General features: G+C 49.1%; 1 protein-coding gene across 3 annotated transcripts in view, besides 2 other annotated features; it reads left to right on the top strand.

Annotated features, from left to right (window-relative positions):
• The window catches only part of RDX (radixin), a 121,693-nt gene extending 107,813 nt beyond the window's left edge, over window positions 1-13,880 (top strand). For 2 of the 3 annotated variants that reach the window (NM_001440510.1, NM_001440505.1), the window contains one exon: window positions 3,183-3,729. The gene's annotated coding sequence lies outside the window, so the exon portion shown is untranslated. Of the gene's footprint in view, window positions 1-3,182; window positions 3,730-13,567 lie in introns of those variants that run through there. The other variant, NM_001260493.2, reaches the window with a different exon arrangement.
• Window positions 6,416-7,104: an enhancer, noted in NCBI's record as "H3K27ac-H3K4me1 hESC enhancer chr11:110052423-110053111 (GRCh37/hg19 assembly coordinates)". NCBI's record gives its function as "activates a minimal SCP1, AML or CMV promoter by ChIP-STARR-seq in naive H9 embryonic stem cells {active_cell/tissue: H9 hESC(naive)}" and the evidence as "EXISTENCE:reporter gene assay evidence [ECO:0000049][PMID:30033119]".
• Window positions 14,405-15,320: an enhancer, noted in NCBI's record as "OCT4-NANOG hESC enhancer chr11:110044207-110045122 (GRCh37/hg19 assembly coordinates)". NCBI's record gives its function as "activates a minimal SCP1, AML or CMV promoter by ChIP-STARR-seq in primed H9 embryonic stem cells {active_cell/tissue: H9 hESC(primed)}" and the evidence as "EXISTENCE:reporter gene assay evidence [ECO:0000049][PMID:30033119]".

Below are 16,584 nucleotides of genomic sequence, written 5' to 3'. Positions count from 1 at the left end.
TAGTGATTGCTTGTCTATAAAAGAGGTTATTTCTTCTTTGCTTATGAAGCTTAGTGTGGTAGGATATAGCATCTTTGTTGGAATTTCTTTGAGAATGCCATAAGAAGCCCCCAGTCTTTTCTGGCTTGTAAGGTTTCTGCTGAGAAGCTCCCTGTTAGCCTGTTAGTTGTGTTTGGTTACACGAATAAGTTCTTTAGTGGTGATTTCTGGGATTTAGGTCCACCCATCACCCGAGCAGTGTACACTGTTACCCAATATGTAGTCTTTTATCCCTCACCCCCCTCCCATCCTTCCTCCTAAGTTCCCAAAGTCCATTGTATCATTCTTATGCCTTTGCGTCCTCATAGCTTAGCTCCCACTTATAAGTGAGAACATACGATGTTCGCTTTTCCATTCCGGAGTTATTTCACTTAAAATAATGGTCTCCAGCTCCATCCAGGTTGCTGCGAATGCCATTATTATTGTTATTATTATTATTATTATTATTATTATTATTATTATTATTTTGAGACAGAGTCTCGCTCTTGTTGCCCAGGCTGGAGTGCAGTGGTGTGATCTTGGCTCACTGCAACCTCTGCCTCCTGGGTTCAAGTGATTCTCCTGCCTCAGCCTCCCGAGTAGCTGGGATCACAAGGGCGCACCACCATGCCTGGTTAATTTTTATATTTTTGGTAGAGATGGGGTTTCGCCATCTTGGCCAGGCTGGTCTTGAACTCCTGACCTCAAGTGATGTGTCTGCCTCGGCCTCCCAAAGTTCTGGGATTACAGGCATGAGCCACCATGCCCGGCCAATGCCATTCTTTTGTTCTTTTTATGAATAGCCCTATGCACTTCTGTTGGCAGGTTTTATATTGGGCAGTGTGGTTTGATCTACAGGCCAGTGGATGGCACTTGTGGGTAAAAGCCAGCTGCAGCCAACACAGATGGGTGTATACTTGATCCTTGTTACCGGAAGAAGCTCTCTTTTTTCCTCAGGCAATGGGTTGATCTGTGCAGTGCACCATGGTCCGAACTCCCTGCTCAACCCCCGGAAGGGGAGACCAAGATGGGTGGGTGGACAGGACCAAGATAAGTGGGGCTGGACTGGGAATGACTGCTTACAGGTCCCCTAATGGCAAGCATAAGCACCAGTGCAGAGGAAGAGGTCCAATGGGCAGCCATCAAGCACCCAGAGGTGTGCCTAGGTATGGAGCTGGGGAACTTCTCAGCTCCAAGTTCTCTGCACAGGGAGTGGGGGCATCCTAAACTCCTGCTCTAGGAGAGTGAGTGGGTGCTCCAGATTGCTGGAGATCTGCCTGGAGGATCAAAAATGGCCCCCTGCACCATGATCTCTGCTCAGGAAGGGTGGAGTAACTCAGGCTATCTGGGTAGGAAGGTGCTCTATATGCCTGGAGATCTGCCTGGGCATGAAGCAAAGAGAGCGCCTCCTGCACCACAAACTCCATACAGGAAGGATGGGGTGATCCAGGCTGCTAATCCATGGGAGCAGGTGCTCCAAATGCCTGGAGGTCTCCCTGAGTGTGGAGCAAAGAGGGCCCCGCTACACCAAGGACTCACTCAGGAAGACTGGAGCAGTTCAGGCTGTTAGTTCAGGTGAGCAGCTGCTCCAAATACCTGGAGATATGTCTGGGGGTAGAGTAGAGAGGGCCCTGCTGTGCCACGATCTCTAAGGCACCCAGTAATTACACATGCAGACGGTTCCAGGGTGCCAAGTTGGCTCTGACTACAAATCTTTTTGCCCAGGAGAAACTGTGGCCGTGGCAGCCCTCCTCCCACTCCAGGCCTGTGACAGAGGAGAGCACAGTTCCAGTGCCTACTGCTGGGACACCTTCCACATTTGCTGCCCAGTTCTGGCTGTGGAGGGCCCTACCCTGCTCCAGAGCAAATGCTCCAATCTCTAACCTGAGACTAAAATGCCTGCATGGCTACACTGCCAGGGTCACCAAAGAATGACTGACTTTGTATGAGCCTGGATTAAAAGTGGCATCCTTCTCTTGATCCCGGGTCTGGGAAAATATCTGCCACTTTTCCGTGTCCAAGCTGCTTCATAAGTCCGCTCCAGGGCTTGGGAGAAATGAAATGCTCTCCCTTGGCCTGGGTTGTATGGAACCCCTGCGGAAAGATGGGCCATGAGGGACTCTCTGACCCTCCTAGTTTCTGGGGCGTCACTCACTTTTATTGGCTGGGTGCCATCATGGGGGCTGCCTGCCTACCTTCTCCTTGGGATCTGGGATGTCTTTTGTTATGCTGATGGATTCCCATTTTCCATCTTAAAGCTCACAGAATTGATCTTTATGCACTATTTTGCTATTTCCAAGTGGCTGAGGCATGCTAGAAGCCTGTAATTCACCATCTTGCGGGGAAAAAAAAACGAGTGATGAAGATTGCCTATGTTCAGATACCAAAAAATGCATTAAGATAATGACAGGTCAAAGCACCACCTAGTCAAAATCTTTCTGAGGAAACAGAACATACTTGGCTCTCACTTTTCATGCCCTGTTGGCTGGATTTCTTCTTGGCTCTCTTCTGCACAGGGCAGAAAGACTGCAGTGTGTGTTTATCATTGGGATGCTCTGATGGGAAGCTGAAGTCTCAGAACAAGAACCCACTTTTCTTCACGCGTGAATTGCCCACACCCGTCAAGCTGGGCAGTGACCCATGAAGAGTGCTTCTGTAACTATCAGATGTCAGTCCTGGTCAAGTTCTATTCCCAACTGTGTAAGCCCAAAGCTGATGGGTGTAGCAACACAAAGCGGGGAAGCTAGTCACTAATACTTAGGAAATGCATTGGTTTGGGGGGCTTCCCTCCTCCAGCGTGGATGCAACAGTCATCAGTCAGCACCATACCCTTTCCCTGGTGGTCCACTCATTTGCTTCCAGGCAGGTGGGATGAGTTGCTTGACTGGTAGGTTTGTAGCCCAGTCCTGTTCCCGGATTTTCCTTTGGGGAATGAGCTGTCTGCAGGAAGCATAAGCACCTCCACGCCATAGTATGCTCTTCCATGCCATAGTTTCACAGAGGCCAGGCTCCCACCTGGGAGGGGCAAGTCTGGGGTTCAGTATTAGAAAGCCCAGTCGCCACAGGCATAAGCCCACATTCTCTAGTGCTAGCTTTATCAAGGATGAAGGTGGTCTGACAGCTTCACGGCCTTATTCTTTTGCTTTGTTTCTCAATGGATTTAGCCCGTGGTTCTCACTCGAATGTGCAGCAGAACTGCCTGCAGGAGTTGTGAAAACACACATGCTGGGCTCCGCTACCAGAGTTTCTGATTCAGCATGTCAGCAGTGGGGCCCAAGAATTTGCATTTCAGACAAGTTCCCAAGTGAAACTGAGGCTGCTGGACTGGAGACCACACTGAAGACCCAAGGAACACTTGGCTAAGAGAAGGCATTCTGTTATTGTTCCCTCAAACTCCAGAAGAACCCAATGTTCTCAAGGCTGTCTGAGTCAGCTGGGCCTCCTTTGCTAACCTGGGGCTGGCAAACAGTCCTCGGTCAGCATGAGTAATTCTTACAAATCAATATCCTCTTCTAGCCCACGGCCTTGGGGAGAAACAAATGATTATGGATTATCCTCATTTCTGTTCTATGCAGAAAGCAAGATGAGTCAACAGCAGCTGTACATCAGCCCTGAAATTGCTATTTTAAAACAGAGTTTGAGACATGCTCAGTTCTCCTTGGATAAAACCTTGTACAGCACTGTGCACAAATAAAGACTTTTTAATAATGATGGAGCTAGTGGATTTTAATGACTTGTCATTGAAGTGTAAAAGTACAAACATTTGCGGGTTAGGGAACCGTGTGATGAATGCCAGTGGATTCAGGAGAAGGCCAGAGCAGAGTGTGTCCCCGCAGACATCCCTAGTGCTTTTCTCAGGCCCTAGCCCCCCCTCCAAGGTCAGCACCGTCTCAAACTCTAACAGGTAGATATGTTTTATCTGGCTTGCACTTTATATAATTGACATCATTCAGCAGGTTCTATGTGTCGTGTCTGCTTTCTTTTACTCCACAAACGCAATGAATTCCTAAAAATGTCTCTCCTCTGATCATCCGTGTTGTTGACCACACATCCTTCACTCCAGCCTCTGTGAGTGGGCTGCCCGCTGCACACCCCGCCTCCCACCTGCAACAAGTTTTTGCAACTTCCTGGCACAGTGTGGCTGTTCCAGTACAGCCAGTTCCCTCTAGGACTTTCCCATCTCCAGGGCTTCCTTCAGGCCTCCCACCCCCATCAGAAGGGGTTTCCCTTCTTCCCTCTGCCGATTTCCATCAGTCAGAGCAGGTGAGGCTCTACCACCCACCCTGCAAGGCTTACACCTTAGAGGCCCGTGCCTTGCTCTCTGTTCATTTGGGGGCATCTTGTTCTGCACAGTCCCTCAGGGACCTGGATTTCCCTACACCAGGAGGAACATATGACCTCTTAGGCACCATGTCAGGGAGACAGAGGCTGGAGAACCCCACAGGGCTGTTCACCGCCTGGGCTTGGGAATGACACCTGTCTCTTCTGCCAATATTTCATGGTCAGAGCTAGTCATATAGCGAGTTCTCTTGGCTACAAGGGGGATGGGAAAGGCAGGATAGCAAAGGGAAGATTTGGTGAACATCCCTGTTGCTGCCACAGTGCTCAGATCAGCTCCGTCTCCAGCGCCAGATTGTTCTATCATCCCCTCTGCCCTTGGGCTCTCACGTGCTCCCTCTCCCTCCTGTTATTCTACAGTATCTGTATCTTGCACACTGGTGGTCTTCCAGGGGACATGTCTGGGGATGTTTGTGATTGCTGAGATTTGGGTGTGTGTGGCACTGACATCTAGCAGGGATAGGCCTGGGATGCTGGAAAACATCCTACAATGCACAGGACAGCCCTCCCAACACAAAGCACGGCCTAGTCCTAAGCATCGATAGCAGCGTGGCCAGAGCCCTGTAGTCCAGGGTGCCATTTCAGCTGGCGTAGGTCTTGCCTACTCCTGCTGAATTGCAACTCTGGGGAAAACAATCATGGTGGCCTAAAGCCAGGCTTGGTGACAGACTGAGTCCTGCTGCCCTGGCCCCTTCAGTGGGCCTGATGACTCTAGGAGAAATGAGGGACAGAAGTGAACAGGTAATAGAGCAGTGGCAGAGAAAAAAGGTCATCTGAGTGTTATTTGTAATGGCTTCACCAGGCTTAAAAATATAGCAGATAGTCTGGGTGCAGTGGCTTATGCCTGTGATCCCAGCACTTTGGGAGGCAGAGGCAGAAGGATCGCTTGAGACTAGGAGTTGGGGACCTGTCTGAGCATCATAGTGGGACACTTTCTCTACAGAAAAATAAATTGGCTGGGCTGTTAGCGTGTACCTGTAGTCCCAGCTATTTAGGAGACTGAGGTGGGAGGATCACTTGAGCCCAGGAGTTTGCAGCTGCAGTGAGCTGTGATTGTGCCGCTGTACTCCAGCCTGGGTGACAGAGCAAGAACGCAAGAACTTTTCTAGTATCTATCGATACAGATATACATATATTAATAGCAGATGGCAAGCCAAGTAGAGCTTCTCACCTGGAGTGCTCCTCCCTCCACGTAGACTGGGCACTGGGCTGCATCGCCACCTCTGAGAGGAGCTGGCAGGTCCTGGGTGTGTACACTCAGGTCTGCTGCACCCTGTACCCACCATATTTCTTCATCAGTGGCTGTTTTTTCATTGGTGGTTGAACCAAGGTGCGGGTAACCCACATTAGCAAGCTTGAGTCATCACCCTTCACTGTCCTCACAGTGGGCTGACTCCTGTGGTCTGGCTGTGCCTAGCATTGGTTTGGGATGAGTCGCATTCTAAGGCCAACTGTGCCATTTTCTGCTGCATGACTTTGGGCAAATCATTTAGCCTCCCTGGATTTCAATTCTGACGCCTGTAAAAGAATGATTTGCTCTCTGTAACATAGATATTTTATTTTGTTCCTCCCCAAATACATAGAATCCGTAGACGCTCAGAACTCATCTTCAGTTCCTTCTGGTTTAACTAAATGCAGCAATGCTATTCATATGTCCTGTTACCCCGGACAGCCTGCTCACCTGGCCTTGAGGGATGGTTGTCAAAAGTTTCCCTAAAGGCAGAAATGAAGAGACTTGGTACAAGTTCTGAGAAACCATTGCCCATGGCAATGAGGAACAGGATTACCCAAGAGAATTACCATTCTCCTATTCATTCATTCAATAAGTTGTTGTTGTTGTTGTTTGAGACAGGGGCTGGCTCTGTCACCCTGGCTGGAGTACCGTGGCAAGATCTCAGCTCACTGCAACCTCCATCTCTCAGGCTTAAACCATCCTCCCACCTCAGCCTCCCGAGTAGCTGGGACTACAGGTGTGTGCCACCACACCCGGCTGGTTTTTGTATTTTCAGTAGAGACGGGGTTTTGCCATGTTGCCCAGGCTGGTCTCAAACTCCTGAGCCCAGCAATCCAAGGACCTTGGTTTCCCAAAGTGCTGGGATTACAGGCATGAGCCACCATGCCCGGCCACATTCATTCAACAAATATTTCTGACCCTCCTCAAAGTCCTGGGCACTGGAGATGCTGCACAATGAGTGGCTGGAAGGCGTCTCTGCCCTCCTGGAGCTCCACCTCTTCCGCGTCTCCCTTGGCACCCAGCACTGCGGCAAGGAATCTGTGGAGCTCAGTAGTCCTCACTCGCTGAGAGCTCAGAGGAGAAGGGTAGAATTGGAAGTCTCAGCTTTTTCCACTCAGAAAGCTGCTAAAGCAGCTGCTGGGTGTCTCTCCCCCACCTTCTCTTGTGCTGGCCCTGGAGCACAGTAGGCATGGGAGAGGGTGGCCGAGGGAGGAACAGGGAGGGGTGAGGAGTGTGCAGATTGCCAGGTGAGGGGGCCTTGTACCCAAGTCATCAGGAGTTGATGGAGCTGCTGATGACTCCAGGGTGTGCCTGGGTCTGAGTCTGAGGTGGTAACAATGTCTCGGAATAAAAGCTGCCCCCTTTTTTTTCAGGCCACTGCTGCAGGACAGTGAAGCTGACTTAAAATGCCCCTGCCCTGGTAAGCCACCTGGTGTATGTGTGATAACATGGCCTTGGACGCCTCTCTTCCCTTGCTCTGTTGGAAGTTGGTAGATATGCTCCGGACTGTACAGCCTGGTACTTGCCTTTGTCCATTGCCATTTCTGGGACCACCCTTCAAAGCCACACATTGTAAAATGAAGGCACAGGGGCCATGCCCCCATTCTTGGCCAAGCCCTGAGGCTCTGCTGCCCAACTCTTCTAGGCCCCTTGACCTCTTGTCCACCAGGGCACAGGGCAGTGGAAGATACTGGGAAGGGGCCAACCTCACATAGCTCACGACCTTAGAGGAGCATTAAGATGCAGCCCTGGCCAGGCGCGGTGGCTCACGCCTGCAATCCCAGCACTCTGGGAGGCCGAGGCGGGCAGATCATGAGGTCAGGAGATCAAGACCAGCCTGGCCAACATGATGAAACCCCGTCTCTACTAAAAATACAAAAAATCAGCTGGGCGTGGTGGCGGGTGCCTATAATCCCAGCTACTCAGGAGGCTGAGGCAGGAGAATTGTTTCAACCCGGGAGGCGGAGGTTGTAGTGAGTCGAGTTCGCTCCATTTGTAGTCCAGCCTGAGTGACAGGGCAAGACTCCGTCTCAAAAAAAAAAAAAAAGATGCAGCCCTGAGCTGGTGTGCGTGTGTGTGTGTAGCCTGGGTCCTGGCCACCACCTGAGCTGCTCTAATCCAGGCAGATCCAGACACATTCCAAGGTGATACCTGGAATGGGGCAATGAAGCAGTTTTGTCCACTCATTCATCATATGTGAACGGAGCAAACAAATCAACCAAGGCCCTGCCTTCATGGAGTGTGTGTCCCAGGACCGGGCTGAGCGATAAAGGAGCCACACAGTTCATCCGAAGGTTTCATGCTGTGGAGGAATATAACACGGGGCACATCCAAGAGGGGGGCTGGAGCTCCGATTTTCTAAATATCAGGACGGCTTCACTGAGAAGGTGATGTTTGAGCAGATACCCAAAGTGAGAGAAGGATCCACGCAGCACCTGGAAGGATAAAGCCAGGCAAAGGGAATGACAAAAATGTGGAGGTTGCAGTTAGCCGAGATCGCACCACTGCACTCCAGCATGGGGGACAGAGCGAGACTGTCTCAAAAAAAAAAAAAAAAGTTCTGAGATAGGAGCATGCACACAGACTGAGGAAACTGCAAGAAGGCTGATGAAGGGGCCTGGAGCCCTACAGAGCAGAACTAGAGGAACAGCTTCACGAGGGTGACCACAGAGCTGTGTGTGTGCTGCCTGCTACAGTGGCCCGGGGAAATGGGTAACTGAAGGTAGGGTGAGACCTGCCGTGAGATTGGTGACAGGGGACTCCAGCAGGAGACACTTTCTTCCTGGCCTGGAGAGGAGGGGAAGATTCCGACCGCTGAAGTTGGGAGGGAATGAATCCCAGCCCAAAGCTGGAGCTAATGAGGAAAACCTTGGCCATATGGGGGTTGGGGAAATAGGATGGGGTCCAATTTGGCTGGCACATAGCATGATGAGCGCTGAAGGACAAGGCAGATCTACACAGTCAATTTCACTTTTGCAACTCAATAGCTTTCTTAAAGAACAAAGTCCAGGGCCAGGCGCCATGGCTCATGCCTGTAATCTCAGCACTTTGGGAGGCCAAGGCAGGTAGATCACTTGAGGTCAGGAGTTCGAGACCAGCCTGGCCAACATGGTGAAACCCCTTCACTACTAAAAATACAAAAATTAGCCAGGCGTGGTGGTGCCTGTCTGTAGTCCCAGCTACTCAGGAGGCTGAGGCAGGAGAATCGCTTGAACCTGTGAGGCGGAGGTTGCAGTGAGCTGAGATTGCACCACTACACTCCAGCCCGGGCAACAAAGGGAAACTCTGTCTCAAAAAAAAAAAAAAAAGAAAAAAGAAAAAGAAAAAGAAAAAGAACAAAGTCCAGAGCACTGCAGGGAGGCCTAGAGGCTGAGGCATTCCATAGCTGGATCTGCAGGTACAACTTAACCTTGTTAGATTTTATTATTATAATTGTTTTTTAGACAGAATCTTGCTCTGTTGCCCAGGCTGGAGTACAGTGGTATGATCTTGGCTCACTGCAACTTCTGCCTCTGGGTTCAAGTGATTCTCCTGCCTTGGCTTCCCGAATAGCTGGGATTACAGGCACCCACCACCACGCCTGGCTAATTTTTGTATTTTTAGTAGAGACAGGGTTTTGCCATGTTGACCAGGCTGGTTTCAAACTTCCAACCTCAGGTGATATGCCCACCTCGGCCTTCCGAAGTGCTGGGATTACAGGCATGAGCCACCATGCCTGGCCTAGATATTTAAGAGAATATTCTGATTACTCTGTGGAGGCAGGATTTAGGAGGGCACAAGTGGAACTGGGAAGATGGGGCCTTAACATCCTAGAGACAATGGAAAGGCCAGGGCAGTGACAGGAATGAATATTTGCTGGGTGGTGGCTCTGGGCTGGGCATGGTACTTCCTGGCGTGGTGTTCATTGTCACTTTTTGCCACTGGGGCTCAGGCCCAGGATTCCACGTGTGATGGATGGTTACAGGGCAAAAAGCTTATCCAGCATCACCCAAATAAAAAGCCTAGTTTGATCCTACTTCCAAAATGTGTCTGGCATCAGTTCCCCGGCTTCTGGCCCTTGGGTGGACCTTGGATGAGTTCTCCTGGGATGGCCATTGCGGCAGCTTCCCCCTGGCTGAACCCCTCTGGTCTAATCACCCTCCTCAAAATTGTGCTCCACCATTTGGTACCCATGTAAAAATCTTTGGTATTTTCCCTGGCCCTGGTACTACCTGTTTGCAGGGACCCCAAACTCGAATGTCTTTAGTTGCTTGGTGTAACGAAATCAGCAGGGCTGGTGGCAGGGATCAATGTAGAGTACAAACATGGCTGAAGGCATTCAGCAAAAAGAGAAACAGGTTGTGCCAGCCAAAGCAGATATGTCTGTCATCAAGTCAAGCCCCAGTGTTCCCTCTTTATAATCTGTAAAGGCCCAAATCCTGAGCTGCTCAAACAGCAGCCTCTGCAACCTGGCCTCAGTGTCTCTAGCTTCCTCTCTGCGCCCTCACTACTTTGGCTGGGCTACACCTCTGTCCCTGGAAGGTGCTCTGTCATGCCTCCTTGCTTCTGTACCTGATTTCTTCTGACTTTTATATTTTCTGCCCCCCAAAATCTATCAACCTTTGGGACTTAGGTCCAAGGCCACCTTCTCTGTGAACCTGTCCCGTCTTCCCACAGCATGATCATTGGTTGCAAGCATCATAGATGAGTCCCTCTGCCCTGACTTAGACGGTGATCTCCAGGGCAGAAGCCAACTGATGTAATAGCCACGGCATAGTCCTAAACATGATGTAGGCAGTGGTGACCCTTAGTTCTCTCCCCACACTCTTCTTTGGCATGTAACTTAGCAACTGGATCGATCAGTCAAAGGGGAAAATGAACCCAGCACAGCCACTGTTTTTGCACCCCTGATTTGGGCAAAGGGGGAAAGTACTGAACCCAAATTCAGAATCAGGATGCAGTTGAGTTCTGCACTAGAAGAGAGGGCCCCCTTGCTTTTGTTAGAAAGACCAGGAGAGCTGCAGGTGGAGGGTGACATTTACGTGGAGCTGTGGATTTTGTCTTTGCTGGTGAAGCAGAGATGGAGGTTATCCCTGGCAGAGGAGCCTGCAGTACACAGCCTGGAGGAAACAGAGTGCTTGCCAGGCATACTGTGAGACGGGCCAGGGGTCTAGAGGCCATGGTGGGTGGGGAGGGCAGATGGTGGACCTGGGATGTCACTGTGTGGGGAGTTTTGCATGTTATGGTCAGACATCCTGGCCTGATCAGAGAGGCAGGGTGTGTGCTGGGCGGGTATGAGGGGGAGTGTCGGGGAGGGCACAGGGAATGTCAAAGGTTTCTAAGTATATCATGAGACGGTTAACTCTAGCTACAGGTTAGAAGGATTTGAGGCAGGGTGGAGCAGTAGGGAGACTGGATAGGGAAGTGTTTGCTGTAACAAGAGCTCCCAGGCCGGATGCGGTGTCTCATGCCTGTAATCCCAGCACTTTGGGACGCCGAGGCAGGCGGACCACCTGAGGTCAGGAGTTCGAGACCAGCCTGGCCAACATGGCAAACCTCGTCTCTACCAAAAACACACACACATACACACAAAAGAGCTCCCAGGCCAGGCCAAGGTCCAGCCAGAGCCATGGAGAGGGACAAAGGTGAGGCAAAGGTGATGAAAGTGAGATCTATTCAGAGGCTGAATGGAGGATTTGGGGGGCTGCATATGTCCTCTGGGAGGGAGAGGGAAGAATGGGGGCCAAGGTGCAGGCCTCCAGCTGGGAAGTGAATTCTGTCTTTGACACCTCTCATGTCCTAGACGCTGGAGCTGAACATCCCACAACCCTGTGTGGTGGGTTAAAAGATCACCTTTTACAATAGAGGAAGTAGCTGAGCTTCAAGATTAAGGACCTGCTCAAAGTTGTGCAGTGCAGCAATGGGGGCACCAGATTAGCAGCTGGGTCTGGACCCCACCACCTCACCACTTCCCACAGGAGTTCGCACTGTCGCGGCCTCAGGCCTCAGCCAGGGAGTGGTTGGAGTCTCACCGTTCCTGTCCCCGGGTGGAGGTGGGAAATTCTTCTCCATGAGCATCTCTCCTTGTCTTGGCTTTTACTACTTTGCCCTGAGGCATTTTGCTTTACAGCTTGACAGAACCGATGTCTCTGGAAATGTGTTTCTTTTCTCTGGAAGATGCATTTGGCTCCAGAAACTCTGAGCCTCTCAGAGGGTCTTTTGGGCAAAGCTTCAGTCACGGTGGAAGGGGAGGTGGTGTGCGCTTGGCCCTTGGCAGGCTGCAGGCCAGCCGACTGTGCGATGTTGCGCTGGTTCCTTCAGGTCAGCAGAGAGGACTCCGAAAGGGCCTGGTGATACTGCTACCTGTTCAGATGAACTACAGCCCAGCAGAATAGGCCTGAGTTAGGGGACGCACCCACCACCTTCGGCTCCTTAGGAGTTCAAGGAGCACAAGCTGTGGCCTGACAATCCCCCTCTAACTTCCTGCTAGGCCTCCAGAGCCTGGCGTTGCTCAATCCTTGTAATCCTTGATTAAAATATTCCCTGCGCCACCCCTCTCACCACTTGGCATTTCCTGCTACCAATCTGGAAAGCGGTATCACAAGTCTGTATATTAAGTTGTGAGAGAGATGGAGAAGGATCTTTTAAAGTCAGTTGCCATCTTCCTCTTTCCCCATCTGCCTACAGTCACTGCTGACAGGGTGATGGCAATGTCCCCAGGCACCCCGTGGCTGGGGGGAGCAGGAGGCAGAGTTGAGAATGCTTACCCTTTTGGATGACTCAGAGCCAGGAGATGATGGGATGTGGAAGGCAGGAGCCAGGAGGGGTACTGCCTGGATGGGCTCTGGGGTTTGTAAAAGCTGGTGCTAGGCCGGACAAGGTGGCTCATGCCTGTAATCCCAGTACCTTAGGAGGCTGAGGCAGGCAGATCACTTGAGGTCAGGAGTTTGAGACTAGCCTGGCCAACATGGTGAAACCCCGTCTCTACTAAAAATACAAAAATTGGCTGGGTGTGGTGGTGCGCACCTGTGGTCCCAGCTACTTTCTTGAACCTGGGAGGCAGAGGGTACAGTGAGCCGAGGTCACGCCACTGCACTCCAGCCTGGGCAACAGAGCGAGACTCTGCCTCAGAAAAAAAAAAAAAGAAAAAAAGAAAAAGAAAAAAAGGCTGGTGCTGGTGCGCCCTCACCCACACCCGCCTTGGCCCAGGGGCCTCCTGTAGTCCCCACTCCCGCCTCTCCCACTGCTTCCCACCTCCCTTCAATGTAGGCAATGAAGTTGAGCTTGGACTAGAACAGGCATCTTGCTCCAATCCTCCTTGTCTAATTTGCAGGGTTTTAATGTGTATTGCATTCACTATGGCACAATGTGCTTTGTCCTTGTCTTAATTTGGCAACATACAGAGCAAACCCATAAATCTCCTCCAGAGTTTACTGAATAGCTTTTCATGTAGTTACCAAATTGTATTTGCCATCTCCCTCAATCTTTTCACATGCATATTTGAAAGAATTATTCAAATGAATGATAATTACATCCTTGGAAAGTGGAGAGCAGTGGGGAGAGGGCTTTGAAGGCTGAGACAGAAAGCCTCGCCTCTGGCAGGCCCCCACCCCCACCCCAGGGGCTGAAGGGGGACCCTCTGTGCACTGACACCCACCCACCCAGACCTCTGGACAAGAGCAGGAAGTGCATTTAAACATTGTACTTGCCATTCTTTCAGTGCTCTCTTCCTCACTGAGTTCTCCTGGGGAACTAGGAAGGGAATCTGTTTGGCTACCTAATTAAACTTTCCTATTTTTAATCTCATGGTGAATTTGTGCAAAACACAAAGCCCAGGAAAATGCCAGTGGCAGCTGCTTCAGCATAAAAGGTGTTGTGTTTGCAGTGGGCATTGTCAAGAGTCTGAAAGCTAAATAGGCCTTCTCTAAAAACACCCTAGAACGTCCCTGAGCATGATTGGAAACATTAGAAATAAATGTACTGCCTTTTACTCTCCAGGGCTACAAAGAATGCTAGAGTGGAGACAAGAGTCCAGACTCTGAAATAACCTCCTTTGGACACAGAAGCTACCACTGTTGCTTATCAGACGCAGCGGGCCCTGGGTTTTTCTGGGGCCTTAAGCAGTGAACCCTGGTCAGCTGGCCTGAGTCCCAACCCAAGCCCATCACCACAAGCCTCAAGACAGGAAGATCTCAGTGAAACCTTTCCTCTAATCCAAGTGACATCATTGTCGCAGGTGTTTGTACATGAAAGCAGAGTGATGAAGGTGTGTGGGTCCACGGAAGAAGTAAAAATACAGCACTAGTTCATATTTTTCCTAGTCTCTCCCTGTTCCCAGGTAAAGTTATAGCATGTTCAAGGATGTGCATTTATAGCATAACTGGTTTCATTCCTCAGACCTAACTTTGTGTAGAATAACTCATACCAAAGGTGACTAAGGGCCCATTCCTAGCACTGCTTTGCAGCACACTGAAGTGGGAAAAAGAATTCTGAAAGCATGCACAGTGGGAATTGAATCACGAGGTTGTCTTTGAGTAAGTGCTTTTAGCTTTTGGAGTCTCAGTTTCCTCATTTCTAAAATAGGGATAATGCTTATTTCATAGGATTTTAATTTATGTAAATATATAGTACTGGACCCTCAGATGTGAGTATTCTTCCTGCTAGCCTTATCTCTCCAACTTTGAAAGCGGCAGTTGTAAACTAGAAGGGAATGCTTAAGGGAAAAACAGTTGCCCAGTGTCATCTGACATCTCCCCAGAAATGTACATCGTCCACCTGAGACCACACAGCAGCCATTGCTCTGTCCAGGTCGGCTCTGTAGGTTCTTACGGTAAGGGACCGACATTCCTTTTCACTTCGGTCAGGGGTGTGTGCGGTGGGGAAGAGACGCAGACAGGTTTGCGGAGCGCCACCTTCAGGAGTAAAAGTGGAGTGCAGGGGATGTTAGTGACGCCGTCGTAAACTGCTTAACTGTGAGATTCTGAAATCTTTTTGTAATTATCATTTGTTATTCCACTTTCCCTATTACAATGCAGATACAGAGGAAAAACCCTTAAACCTAGAAGAGCTGAGTGATGGGAGCAGCAAGGAAGTGGGTTCTAAGAACTCTTTGAAGGTTAAAATACCACTCCTGAAATAGACCTCACCAGTGAATAAATCAAATTACATTGATTGTTAGAATTCAAACTCTTCCACAGCATAACTATAGAGATAGGGAAGGCTCCATTGAGAAAGCCTCAAAATTACTACGCATTTAAATACCCCTAGTTATTTACATAATAATGGCTGTCACTTATTGAACACACACTATGGATTTGCATGTTCAAAGGGTTTTACTTGTTTCAACTCATTTAGTCTTAACAACCCTAGGAAATGGGGGCAATTATTACTCTGTTTAGTAATTTGCCAATCTGCTACATGTATGATGTGTGGAGCTGGGTGTGTACTCTTAACCCAAGGCCGATGACTGCACCTAGAGAGGAATACATTTTTTAAAAGGTTATTTTAAAAATCTTTAAAAAGGGAAACCTTTAAAATGTTAAAAAAATTTAAAAATCCTTTAAAAACACAAAAATGAAAACCATTAACTCTAAAACAGCAACAGAGGCGGAGGTGCAAAGGCTAACAAATAAGGATGTTTAACTAATGAGAGGCCCAACTGCAGGCGTTTTGTTTTGTTTTGAATAAATTCACTGTCATAGTTGCTTTTTACCAAACTCCCCTTCTCACATGCCACTTCATTCATCAATGAGTATTAACCCATTCTTCTTACCCAATGGTATAGGTGGAGAAGAAATAAAGTCCTTACCCCAGGTAACACTGTTGCCTAATAGAATATTCTCCTGGATTCTTGGCTCAGCCTGTGGAAGTACCTGGGGAACTCTCACACCTAATGCTTATTTTGAATATGCTGACTCCTCTGTCCACAATCAAACATCAATAATCAAATCTGCTGGCAGAGCCAAAATAAATGGTCTAAATCCATAAGCTTGCAGTTACACAGCTTAAAGTAATCAAGTGGGGGAAAAAAAGAATACTTAAGAATGCAAATGGAAATTTTAGGGAAAAAGAAGAAAAGCAAAGGTCCAAAAAGCAATGTCAGAGGAGAAACCCGCTCTCTGAAATAGTGGCTTCTCATGCAATGACACAGAACGTCCACATGCTAAATCATGAAGATCATGACAATACGGTGACTGCATCGGAAACAGAGTATTTCGTTAATAGAAAATTATTAGGACAATTGGGTCAGGAAGACACTGCTGTCTAGAATAGTCGGGATACAGCGAAGATTGCTGTTTTACTTCAGCAAGAACAGGGTGGATGCCGCATTGTATTTGTTTGCATCTGTCCTTGAGTCATCCTTACGCCCACGGTCATCACCACCATGTAGCTAGTGACAATAAGCCTGTGAGATAGGCATTCTGATCATTTCACAACGGTGTATGAAAAAGACTCTGAAAGAGAATAATTTGCCCAAATTTTACATATTGTGTGTCTCATATATATAGTTACCATAGTAATACGTGCAGGACTGAGAGTCAAACACAGCCCTGGAGTACCTGACAGCTGTCTGCAATCTCTCCCAATCTGTGCAGGAATTTCACAGAAGCAGAGCATTTCCCCACAATGATCTAAGTTTTCCAGCCTCAACTATTAAAGAGATAAAAATTTCAATTTCTGTGCATTCAAATCTATTCAATTTATTTTTACAAACAAAATCCTTATTCCTGTTGGCTATGTGGCCCCGTACATTCCAGGCCAGCTAAAGAAGTTAACTTGAAGAGGGATGTGTGGACCCTCATTCTCTGTGCCCCACTACCTGTCAGGGTGTCATGGACATCAGGGCTCAAAGTTTTGTGCATCCTAGTAAACACCACTGCACCAATGAGTCTTTTTGATACATTTTTTTTCTGAGACGGAGTCTCACTCTGTCACCCAGGCTGGAGTGCAGTGGCGCAATCTTGGCTCACTGCAACCTTCTCCTGCCTCAGCCTCCCGAGTAGCTGGGATTACAG

Source organism: Homo sapiens, chromosome 11 (assembly GCF_000001405.40).
Source record: "Homo sapiens chromosome 11, GRCh38.p14 Primary Assembly".
Taxonomy (NCBI): Eukaryota; Metazoa; Chordata; class Mammalia; order Primates; family Hominidae; genus Homo; species Homo sapiens.
This window is presented reverse-complemented; position numbering and strand designations above follow the sequence as displayed.